The sequence below is a fragment of the Homo sapiens genome, chromosome 6 (assembly GCF_000001405.40).
Source record: "Homo sapiens chromosome 6, GRCh38.p14 Primary Assembly".
Taxonomy (NCBI): domain Eukaryota; kingdom Metazoa; phylum Chordata; class Mammalia; order Primates; family Hominidae; genus Homo; species Homo sapiens.
The window spans coordinates 165278709-165291549 of record NC_000006.12 but is presented as its reverse complement, the minus strand read 5'-3'; the positions used below and the strand labels follow the sequence as shown (position 1 = coordinate 165291549).

General features: G+C 37.1%; 1 protein-coding gene across 9 annotated transcripts in view; it reads left to right on the top strand.

Moving 5' to 3' along the window:
* C6orf118 (chromosome 6 open reading frame 118) overlaps positions 1-11886 on the top strand; it is a 29942-nt gene extending 18056 nt beyond the window's left edge. For 4 of the 9 annotated variants that reach the window (XM_005266838.3, XM_011535510.2, XM_011535509.2 and 1 more), the window contains 4 exons: positions 1483-1664; positions 9857-9910; positions 10014-10069; positions 11440-11886. In XM_005266838.3, coding sequence (XP_005266895.1) covers positions 1483-1664; positions 9857-9910; positions 10014-10069; positions 11440-11533 — 386 coding nt within the window. In that variant the 3' untranslated portion in view covers positions 11534-11886. Of the gene's footprint in view, positions 1-1482; positions 1665-2617; positions 2840-9856; positions 9911-10013; positions 10070-11439 lie in introns of those variants that run through there. The other 5 variants (NM_144980.4, XM_011535511.4, XM_047418256.1 and 2 more) reach the window with 3 other exon arrangements.
* The last annotated feature ends 955 nt before the right edge of the window (positions 11887-12841 follow it).

The window sequence follows — 12841 nt, the reverse complement described above, 5'->3', positions numbered from 1 at the left end:
TCTCCTTCTCTAAATTGGCATCCCCCTGGCTATTTCAATGGATGGTATCACCAAACACATGGAGATGAAAGCCATAGAACATGTGCCAGGCAACTTTCACTCTCCTACCCCTCAACCTCTTCCAACACAGCTTGAAATAAGTGGCCAAGGTGGGATTGAAACCAAGTTCTTTCTTACCTCCATGCTTCATTGAACTCATTGTTTTCTTTCTAGCTACAACTGAGCTAAAACCTAGGGCTTATTTTTGACATTGCCTTCTCTACATTGCCAGATCTAGTCAATTACTAAGGTCTATTTTCTTTTTCTATTTCCTAAATCGTTTTTTGTTGTTGTTGTTGTTCACTTCTCTTCATGCTGGGAGTACTATTCTGATATGGTTTGGCTCCGTGTCCCCACCCAAATCTCATCTTGAATTGTAGCTCCCATAATTCCTATGTGTTGTGGGAGGGACCTGGTGGTAGACAACTGAATCATGAGGACAGTTTCCCCCATACTATTCTCATGGTAGTGAATAAGTTTCACCAGATCTGATGGTTTTATCAGCGGTTTCCCCTTTTGCGTATTTCTCATTCTCTCTTTGGCTGCTGCCATCCATGTAAGATGGAACTTCCTCCTCCTTGCCTTCTGCCATGATTGTGAGGCTTCCCCAGCCACATGGAACTGTAAGTCCAATTAAATCTCTTTTGTTTGTAAATTGCCCAGTCTCAGGTATGTCTTTATCAGCAGCGTGAAACAGACTAATACATACCCTGACCCGATCAACCTGTGTGAATGATTGCCATAGCTTCCCAACAGGTCTTTCTGATTCTAGTCTTGTGCTGTCTGATCCACTTTCAGGACACAATTTCACTGGAGACAGTGATCATTGTCTGATTGTGTCTCTGCCCATATTAAAAGCCCTCAACATCTTTGACCGATTTCTTAACATAGGTCACAAATCTTCTCAGATCTGCCCCCCGTTTCCCTCCTAGGATTGTCCCTCAATGTCTAAATTCTGTCTTCTGCTCCCTTCCAAAACCCTTCTGCTTGTCTAACTTCTCTTTATCCTTTGTATTTCAACCTAGCCACACTTCTCTGGCAAAGTCATCCCTGAGCCTTCCTCCTGCTGTGTCTGATGTTCTTGCTTTGTCTTACCGTTGCACCTTCTGCTCTGCCACTGTCACTTTCTTGTTGTTTCTTGTTGGTCTGCACTGCTAAATCACACACTCTGGAAAGGGCTAATTCACCATTGAACCTTTCTACCTAGCCCAGTGTCTGCACAAAAATGTGTTCAACAAATATGTATTGATTAGAGGAATGAATTAAAGGAGGAATACCCTCATTCTGGGGTCAGATTATTTTTATTGACATGCTTCGAGTTTGAATTATATTTTATAGTTATATATACTATAGCATACATAATATTGTTAATAATACATAATGCTATTAATAATAACTGAGATATTAAACATGGTAATACTTTGTTTTAAAAAATATTTCCAGAATCATCTGAGAAACATATAATTGATGAAAACCGACTTACTCTTACTGAGAAGGTTGAAAAGAAGAGGTGTGAAATACTCAGTAAGTGGGATGAGATACAAGCTCTGGAAAAAGAAATTAAAACAACTTTGGTTCATACTGGAATTTCAGATATCACTGAGAATAGGATTAAAAGCATAGAGGTACGCAACTTATTTATTTAAATATTTACATTATTCTTTTGCTTGAAGACCTTGGCAAACACATGAAGTAATGTGATTTGGTAATAGGGTAAAAAAATCATAAAATTTGGCCCAAATGTACTTTTTATTTCAAAATGTTTGTAGCAAATAATCATAATAATTAAAAGATCTATCAAAATAAGAAAAAAGGAAAGTGATAAAAAAATTCTATAGATTTCTGTTAATAGCCAAAACCTAATTTTTTGAGTAACATGAACATACAGAGTGGAATAATAGCCATTGAAGACTCCAGAATGTGGGAGTGTGGAAGGGGGATGAGGGATGAAATACTACCTACTGGGTACACCGTACACTATTTGGGTGGTGGTACACTAAAGCCCACCATTACACATATATCCATGTAATACAACTGCACTCATACCCCTAAATCCATAAAAGTTAAAAAATTTAAAAACAGAATTTTAAATTGTGTAGAATATAACTCAATGTAACCTCCAGTTGTAGAGTATATAAGAAATACATGATTTTTTTTATTGTGGTTCTATAGTTAAATATATTTTTCCAGCACTACTTTTATTCTCTTTAGCAGAATTATAGAGCATATAGAAAGGTGTTGGTGGTCCAACCTTCTTTATGAAAAAATTATCTCTTTCTCTTTTACAATCATATGTTCGGATGTTCTTTTTTCTTTTTCTTTTTCTTTTTTTTTTTGGAGGGGGGACATGGCTGTGTGCCAATAAAACTTTATTTACAGAAATAGGTGCAGACTGGATTAGTTTTTTGACCCCTGTTTTAGAAGAAAATTATTTAAATATAGAGGAAACGCTATGGTTTACTGTTGTAAGAATGAAATACTACTGGATGAAATAATTGTACTGATTCTAGCCTTATTTTAACAGGCTAAGTTTTTACATTTATTTATTTTATTTTATTTTATTTTTTTCTATTTTAAGTTCCAGGGTACATGTGCAGGATGTGGAGGTTTGTTACACAGGTAAATGTATGCGATGGTGATTTGCTGCACCTATCATCCTATCACCTAGGGATTAAACCCAACATGCATTAGCTATTTTTCCTGATGTTTTACCTCCCTTCACCCTCCTGACAGCCCCCAGTGTGTGTTGTTCCCCTTCCTGTGTCCATGCATTCTCATTGTTCAGCTCCCACTTATAAGTGAGAACACGTGGTGTTTGGTTTTCTGTTCCTGCATTAGTTAGCTGAGGATATTGGCTTCCAGTTCCATCCATACCCCTGCAAAGGACATGCTCTCATTCCTTTTTATGGCTGCATAGTATTCCATGGTGTATATATACCACATTTAAAAAATCTAGCCTATCGTTGATGGGCATTTGGGTTCATTCCATGTCTTTGCTATTGTGAATAGTTCTGCAATGGACATATATGTGCATGTATCTTTATAATAGAATGATTTATATTCCTTTGGGTATATACAAAAGGGATTTGGGTTTGCTGGGTCAAATGGTATTTTGAGTTCTAAATCTTTGAGGAATTGCCACACTGTCTTCCACGATGGTTGAATTAATTTACATTCCTACCAACAGTGTAAAAGCATTCCTATTTCTCCACAACTTTGCCAGCATCTGTTGTATCTTGACTTTTTAACAATTGCCATTCTGACTGGTGTGAGATGGTATCTCATTGTGGTTTTGATTTGCATTTCTCTGATGACCAGTGATGTTGAGCTTTCTTTCATATGCTTGTTGGCCACATGTATGTCTTCTTTTGAGAAGTGTCTGTTCATGTCCTTTGCCCATTTTTTAATGGGGTTGTTTGTTTTTTCTTGTAAATTTGTTCAAGTTCCTTGTAGATTGTGAACATTAGACATTTGCCAGATAAATAGATTGCAGAAATTTTCCCCCATTCTGTGTGTTGTCTGTTTGCTCTGATGATAGTTTCTTTTGCTGTGCAGAACTCTTTAGTTTAATTAGATCCCATTGTCAATTTTTGCTTTTGTTGCAATTGCTTTTCATGTTTTCATCATGAAATCTTTGCCTATGCCTATATCCTGAATGGTATTGCTTAGATTTTCTTCTAGGGTTTTACAGTTTTGGGTTTTACATGTAAGCATTTAACCTATTTTGAGTTATTTTTTGTATAAGGTGTAAGGGAGGGGTCCAGTTTCATTTTTCTGCATATGGCTAGCCAGTTATCCCAGCACTATTTATTAAATAGGGAATCCTTTCCCCATTGCTTGTTTTTGTCAGGTTTGTCAAAGATCAGATGGTTGTAGGCGTGCAGTCTTATTTCTGAGTTCTCTATTCCGTTCCATTTGTCTATATGTCTGTTTTTTGTACCAGTACCATGCTGTTTAGGTCACTGTAGCCTTGTAGTATAGCTTGAAGTCAGGCAGCATGATGCCTCCAGCTTTCTTCTTTTGGCTTAGTGTTGTGTTGGCTATAGGGGATCTTTTTTGTTTCCATATGAAATTTAAAATAGTTTTTTTTTCTAGTAATGTGGAGAATGTCAATGGTAGTTTAATGGGAATAGCATTGAATGTATAAGCTACTTTGGGAAGTATTGCCATTTTCATGATACTGATTCTTCCTATCCATGAGCATGGAATGTTTTTCCATTTATTTGTGTCCTCTCTGATTTCCTTGAGTAGTGGTTTGTAGTTTTCCTTGAAGAGGTATTTCACTTCTCTTGTTGGCTATATTCCTAGATATTTTGTTCTCTTTATGGCAATTGTGAATGGGAGTTCATTCATAATTGGGCTCTCTGCTTGTCTGTTGTTGGTTTACAGGAATGCTTGCAATTTTTGCATATTGATTTTGTATCCTGAGACTTTGCTGAAGTTGCTTATCAGCTTAAGAAGCTTTGGGGCTGAGATGATGGGATTTTCTAGATGTAGAATCATGTCATATGCAAACAGAGACAATTCAACTTCCTCTCTTCCTATTTCAATACCCTTTATTTCTTTCTCTTGCCTGATTGCCCTGGCTAGAACTCCCAATATTATGTTGAATAGGAGTGGTGAGCGAGGGCATTCTTATCTTGTGCATGCCAGTTTTAAAGAGGAATGCTTCCAGCTTTTGCCCAGTCAGTATAATATTGGATGTAGGTTTGTCATAAATGGCTCTTACTATTTTGAGATGTGTTCATCAATACCTAGTTTTTTTGAGAGTTTTAAACATGCAGGGATGTTGAATTTTATAGAAGGCCTTTTCTGTGTCTGTTCAGATAATCATGTGGTTTTTGTCTTTAGTTCTGTTTATGTGATAAATTTTACCGATTTGTGTATGTCAAACCAGTCTTGCATCTTGGGGGTGAAGGCAACTTGATTGTGGTGAATAAGCTTTTAGATGTGCTGCTGTATTCGGTTTGCCAGTATTTTATTGACGATTTTTGCATCAATGTTCATCAGAGGTATTGGCCTGAAGTTTTCCTTTTTTGTTGTATCTTTTCCAGGTTTTGGTACCAGGATGATGCGGGCCTCATAAAATGAGTTAAGGAGTCCCTCCTTTTCAATTGTTTGGAAGCGTTTCAGAAGAAATGGTGCCAGTTCCTGTTTGTACCTCTAGTAGAATTCAGCTGTAAATCCATCTGGTCCTGGGCTTTTTAAAAAAAATTTGTGGACTATTTATTACTGCTTCAATTTCAGAACTCATTATTGGTCTATTCAGGGATTCACTTCTTCCTGGTTCAGTCTTGGGAGGGTGCATGTGTCCAGAAATTTATCCATTTATTCTAGATTTTCTAGTTTATTTGCATAGAGGTGTTTTAGCATTCTTTGATGGTTGTTTGTATTTCTGTGGGGTCAGTGGTGATATTCCCTTTATCATTTTTTATTTTGTCTGTTTGATTCTTCTCTCTTTTCTTCTTTATTAATCTAGCTAGTGGTCTATTTATTTTATTAATTTTTTTTTCAAAAAAACCATCTCCTAGATTCACTGATTTTTTGAAGGTTTTTTTGTGTCTCTATTTCCTTCAGTTCTGCCATGATCTTGATTATTTCCTGTCTTCTCCTTGCTTTGGGGTTTGTTTGCACTTGGTTCTCTAGTTCTTTTAGTTGTGATGTTATATATTGATTTGAGATCTTTCTAGCTTTCTGATGTGGGCATTTAGTGCTATAAATTTCCCTCTAACACTGCTTCAGCTGCATCCCAGAGATTCTGGTATGTTGTCTGTTCTTATTAGTTTCAAAGAGCTTCTTGATTTCTGCCTTAATTTTATTATTTACTCAGGAGTCATTCAGGAGCAGGTTGATCAATTTCCATGTAGTTGTGTGGTTTTGAGTGAGTTTCTTAATCTTGAGTTCTAATTTGATTGCATGTGGTCTGGGAGACTGTTTGTTATTGCTGAGGAGTGTTTTACTTCCAATTATGTGATTGATTTTAGAGTAAGTGCCATGTGGTACTGAGAAGAATGCATATTCTGTTGTTTTGGGATGGAGAGCTCTGTACATATCTATCAGGTCCACTTGATCTGAGCTGATTTCAAGTCGTGAATATCTTTGTTAATTTTCTGTCTCTATGATCTGTTTAATATTGACAGTGGGGTGTTAAAGTCTCCCACTATTATTAGAGACTTTGTAGGTCTCTAAGAACTTGTTTTATGAATCTGGGTGCTCTTATACTGGGTGCATATATATTTAGGATAGTTAGTTCTTCTTGTTCAATTGAACCCTTTACCATTATGTAATGCCATTCTTTGTATTTTTTTATCTTTGTTGGTTTAAAGTGTGTTTTGTCAGAAAGTAGGATTGCAACCCCTGCTTTTTATGATTTCCATTTGCTTGGTAAGTTATCCTCCACTCCTTTATTTTGAGCCTATGTGTGTCTTTGCATGTGATATGCGTCTATTGAATACAGCACACTGATGGGTCTTGACTCTTTATCTAGCTTGCCATTCTGTATCTTTTAATTGGGGCATTTAGCCCATTTACATTTAAGGTTAATATTGTTATATGTGAATTTGATCCTGTCATCATGATGCTAGCTGGTTATTTTGCACACCTGCTAATGTAGTTCCTTCATAGTGTCATTGGTCTGTGTGTTTTTGTAGTGGCTGGTAATGGTTTTTCCTTTCCATGATTAGTGCTTCCTTCAGGAGCTCTTGCAAGGCAGGCCTAGTGGTGACAAATTCCCTCAGCATTTTCTTGTCTGAAAAGGATTTTATTTATCCTTTGCTTATGAAGCTTATTTTGGTTGGTTATGAAATTCTGGGTTGCAAATTATTTTCCTTAAGAATGTTAGGTATTGACCCCCAATCTCTTCTGGCTTGTAAGGTTTCCACTGGGAGGCATGCTGTTAGTCTGATGGATTTCCCTTTCTAGGTGACCTGGGCTTTCTCTCTGGCTACCCTTAACAATTTTTTCCTTCATTTCAACCTTGGAGAATCTGATGATTATGTATATTGGGGTTAATCTTCTCATGGAGTATTTGACTGCAGTTCTCTGGATTTCCTGTATTTGAATGTTGGCCTGTCTTGCTAGGTTGGGGAAGTTCTCCTGGATGAAATACTGAAGTATGTTTTCAAACTTGGTTTCATTCTCCCCATCTCTTTCAAGTACCCCACTCAGTGGTAGTTTCAATATTTTTACATAATCCCATAGTTCTCAGAGGCTTTTTTTATTCCTTTCATTCTTTTTTCTTTAATCTTGTCTGCCTTTTTTCAGCAAGATATTCTTCAAGCTCTGAGATTATTTCCTCCACTTGGTCTATTTGGCTATTGATACTGGTGGTTGCATTGTGAAGTTCTTGAGTTGTGTTTTTCGACTCCATCAGGTCATTTATATTTCTCTCTAAACTGATTATTCTGGATAACAGCTCCTATAATGTTTTATCATGGTTCTTAGTTTCTCTGCACTGGATTAGAACATACTCCTTTAGCTCAGTGAAGTTCGTTATTACCCACCTTCTGAAGTCTAATTCTGTCAGTTCATCCATCTCAGCCTCAGCCCAGTTCTATGCCCTTGCTGGAGAGGTGTTGAGATCATTTGGAGGAGAAGAGGCACTCTGGTTTTTTGAGTTTTCAGTTATTTTGCATTAATTCTTTCTCATCTTCATGCACTTATCTATCTTTGATCTTTGAGAGTGCTGACCTTTGGATGGGGTTTTGGTGAGGTCTCATTTGTTGATGTTTTTCTTGTTGTTGCTTTCTGTTTGTTTGCTTTTTTAACAGGCCCCTCTTCCATAGGGCTGCTGCAGTTTGCTGGGGGTCCACTTCGGACTCTATTCACCTTGGTCCCTCTAGCACCCGGAGGTGTCAGAAATGGAGGCTGCAGAACAGCAAAGATTGCTGCCGACTCCTTCCTCTGGGAGCTTTGTCCCAGAGGAGCACCAACCTGTTTACAACAGAAACGCTTTTGTATAAGGTGTCTGGCGATCCCTGTTGGGAGGTCTCACCCAGTCAGGAGTGCTTAACGAAGCACTCTGACTGCCCCTTGGTGGAGCAGGTGCACTGCGCTTGGGGGAGTCCCCCTTGTGCAGACTGACTAGACTCTTCAGAGCCAGCAGACATTCTGTCTGTAAACCCCTGCTTGGGACCCAAGACCCTGATGGTGTGGGCTCACGAGGGGATCTTCAGATCTGCAGTTTGCACAGATCTGTGGAAAAAGCATGGTTTCCTGGGCAGGGTAACACAATCACTCACTGCCTCCCTTGGCTGGGAGCGGAAGGTCCCCTTGCGGCTCCCAGGTGGGCCATCTCTTCACCCTGCTTTTTCTTGCTCTCTGTGGGTCGTGCCAACCCCCTAGTCAGTCCCAGTGAGAGAACCTGGATACTTCAGTTGAAGGTGTAGGATTCACTTGCCATTTTCGTTCTTCTCTGTGGGAGCTGCTGACAGCAGCTGCTTCTAGTCGGCCATCTTGGCCCCTCCCTGCAGATTTTCTTCGCGGTTTTTGTTTAGGGTTTGATCTCCTTTATTTCTTTCAGAAAATAAATGTCCTCAGGACAAGCATCAATTTATAATTGCATTTTAAAACAGTAATGGGTTCTAAATTTAAATATTGAAGCATGATATAATGTCAGAACAATGTAAACTATTCTTTCATAATTAAAACCTCCTTAGATAAAACAAGTCTAAGAAATAGAAAACTCCCTATGAAGATTCCATATCACTAATTTATATTACTTTAACTACTTCTTATTTATATTTGGCTGCTTAATTCAAATACTGGAAAATACAATAGAATTGCCATTGTTATTCTATTATGTAATTGGTATCTGGTTCTAGATTTCAAATAGACTATTTCCAACCAGGAAAAAAAAAAAAAAGAGCTGAATGTATTGAGGATTTACAATGTATCAGACACTTTTATGAACATTTAAAAAATATAATTTCATTTAATTTGCAGCAACCCTAACAGGTAGCTGCTATTATTAATCCTCTTTTTGAAGTACAGAAATGAAGCACTAATATGCTAAGTAACTTGATTGAGGTCACAGTTAGCAAGCAGTAGACTTAATATTGAAACTCAGGCTTGGTTCTTAATGATACCCCATGCAGCCTAACTACTAAAATTGCTAATACTTTTCAACATATGTAATATCTGAAAGAGCAAGTCTTTATACCCTCTGCCCATCATTATTTTGTTCACAGTTATCCTGAATACTTTCATTAACACTATTGATTAATTTTTGAAGTTCTAATAATAATACTTTTGGTATTTTGAATTTATAAATGCATTTGGGAGAAAGTGACAGCTTTACAATATTAATACTCCTATCTGGGATTATTTTATACTTACTTAATGTATTTTTATAACTTGGTGAAAGATAATTATGTTTGTTCTTATGAGTTTATGGGATGTATTACTATTATAACTGGTAATTTAAAAATTTCCCCTTACAGTTTATAATCAGTTATTGCTGATATATATGTGATTTATTGATATTTGTATTTTTATATTTTTCCAGCCCCCTTAACAAATTCTATCATTAGTTCTGAAAAGTGAAGAACCCTTCACTTCTGGAATTTCCCTAAAATTTTCTGATATTTTGAAACATCAATTTCCTCCTCTCCTAGTTTTTTACCGGGAGGACCAGGATCTTTCCTTCTCATTAATTGTCCTTCATTTTATGCTTTGTTTCTTCATCTGTTTTTAAGTAATGTGCTATTGAGTACTCTTGAAATTATAATATCATTCACATAATCTTGTTAAATAGAGAAAAATAATTAACAAATATTTTTAACCAAGTATATTGTGTTTAAAACAACTTCTCTTCCAGCATGAAGCTATACAATTGGAAACAGAAAATATGATTTTAAAGAAGAAAATAAAAGTAAGTTTTTTGTGTGAATCAATGTTTATCAATAAAAATATTTCCTCTGGTGACTGCTTGTCCTGTGTAATAAGCATGACCAACTGATCGTAATTCTTTGTAGGTTACTGAAAACCATGTGAAGCAGATCATAGGAAAGATCAGTGAAGAGAGGCAGGAGTAAGTATTGACATCATGATAAAAGAACTAGAGCAGTATCATGCTGTTCTCAAGATCAGTTATTTAAAACTAGATTAGACTAGATAGACCTTTGAAGGGTTCACACTCATGAATGCTTACATTAAATACACATGTTGCATTCTTTTCTGTGCTTTGGAATGCTCAGTCTAAGATTTAGACCTCAATCTGTACACTTTATTTAGTCATATATAAATGAATTTATTGGATAAAGCTGGAGGTGAGGGTGAATTCACATGGGCAGGAATCAGGAACGTGGGAAGGCATGGCTTTATTTTCTCCAATTATATGGCTTTTAGTGATGTTAAATCTTTGAAAACTCCTATGCATATATTACTCTGAAAATTCTAGTTTAAAAAGTAAGTAGCTGATTTATATCATTTGTTTATAACTAAACTTATTGGTATAAACATTATTATTTACATTATAAGCTTATACTTCGCACAGTTACTTTTCTTTGAGTTGGTACTATAGTTTGAATCTCAGAATGTGGTATTATTAAGAGCAATGGAAAACCATATGATGATTTAAATAGGGAAAGGCTTATTTGTATCAACAGGAAAAAGATTTTTAGGTGTAGGTGGCTTGGGCTCAATGACATCATTAAGGAACTAGGGCTCCTCACCTTTCTTCCCTGCTTTCCTTTGAGTGTGGCTGCTGCCTCCTCGGGGTCTCAATATGGCTGCCTTCAGGCATTAACTGGGTCCGCATTCCATGGATTAAGAAAGGGAAATGTGAATGACAGATGGCAAAGAGCTTCTCATTTTGAGGCTTTCCATTTTATTCAGGAAGGACAGTTCTTTCTAGGTGCTCCTACCCACATCTCATTGGCCAGCACCATGGGCCAAGGTCACTCTCAGCCGTAAGAGAGGCCAGAACATAGAGCACCCCACTCTCCAGCTTATGGGGCAGAAAAAGCCATGGGAGAAAGGGATTGGATAGAGTGCTGAGCAAGCCATACAGGTGGATCTAGGTTTTGTGGTTCCTTATATCATGTTGGGTGTTCTTAAAAAGAGGGAATAGAGTTACAAATACAAAACTGGGGAAGCACCTCCCATGGCCTTGGCAATGAAAGTGAATGGACTCAAGTATATCATTATGTTCATGGTACACCTACTTCCCATGCCACACTATATGCTACAGGGGAATCCATCTATCTATTTAGAGAATCTGTTACATTCAAGGCCAAAACTCCCTCAAAATATCTGTTTTAAAAAAGTAAATGATTACAAAGTCTCATCTTGTCTGTTTTTGGGTAAATGTGTCTAAAATAGATGCTTATTTTGAAATTTTATTTCATGCTTAATGTATTTTTTTCTAACCTATGGTATTCATTTCTTATGTATTTTAAGGGGCCTTTGGAAATTTATCAAGGAATTTGTAAAATCAGAGGAAACAGAAGATAACGCTCAAGTGGCTGAACAAATGGCCAGTGGAAATTCTTAACTTCCATGTATGTAGCATGGATATTTGCAGATGCATATACATTCATAAAGATACATTTCATTTCATCAGCTTTAATCTCTAGTAAAATTAATGTGGTATATGTATCCTACTCAGGATACTGAAATACACACATGCGTACACATGATTAGTTTCTGTTGCATACATATTTACAACAATACTAGTTCTTAACGTATGTTTTACTTTCATTTAATAATGTTCAACTTTGGAAAATACTTTTGATTATTTGCTAAGAATAAGGAATTCAGCGCTGCTTGAATACAGCTCAAATTTGTTTATTTGCCAACACAAGTTTACATATATGCATTTAATAAAATTTTATAGTGATTTAATAATTCCATTTAATTAAATAATCTTTACTGATTGAAGATGATACAGTGCTCCGGAAACATTACACTAGCATTATGTTTTGTACTGCATCTATCTTGGCTGATTGTGATCCTGATGACAACGTTGTGACTTAGGATTTTTATGTATTCCCACTTTGCCTATGAACTAGTCTAAACATCTAGAGTAAACGCAAGCTTGATTCCTTTGGACAATCCTATATAGGGCGATTTTTTTTTCTTTGAGACAGTCTGGCTCTGTCGCCCAGGCTGGAGTGCAATGGCATGATCTTGGCTCATTGCAACCTCTGCTTCCTCGGTTCAAGCAATTCCCCTGCCTCATTCAGCCCCCGAGTAGCTAGGATCACAGGTGTGTGCCACCACACCCAGCTAATTTTGTATTTTTAGTAGAGACAGGGTTTCACCATGTTGGCCAGGCTGGTCTTGAACTCCTGACCTCAAGTGATCCTCCCACCTTAGCTTCCCAAGCTGCTGGGATTACAGGGGTGTTCCACCACGCCCGGTCTACAGGGTGATTTTGAAGATCAAATGTAACTGGTAAAGTACACATATGAGGGATTCGATCCTAATTTGTAATCGTAGAGTTTGAGGTGAGAGAGATAGAGAAAGAGAAAGAGAGAGAAAGAGAGAGAGAGAGATTGGCTTTCTACAGATCAGGAGGTCATTGTCAGGGAGGTGAGCTTCTCAGATTCTGTTTAAGATCCATTAGTTCTTGCTGAGGAATGACTCGCTCTGCTTTTAGAGGTAAAATTGTGGCAGCTACTGAAAATGTTTCCCATATATAGAAATCAACTGGACTTTGTTAGCGTACATTGAGTTCTCTGTGTTCCAGTTGCTTTCTATTGGTTATTCATGTCCACTGGGTACCATCTGTCTCATACAGGACAGAGAACTGATATATGAAGTGCTGAATTGATTTGCTTCAACTACCTTGTAAACGATG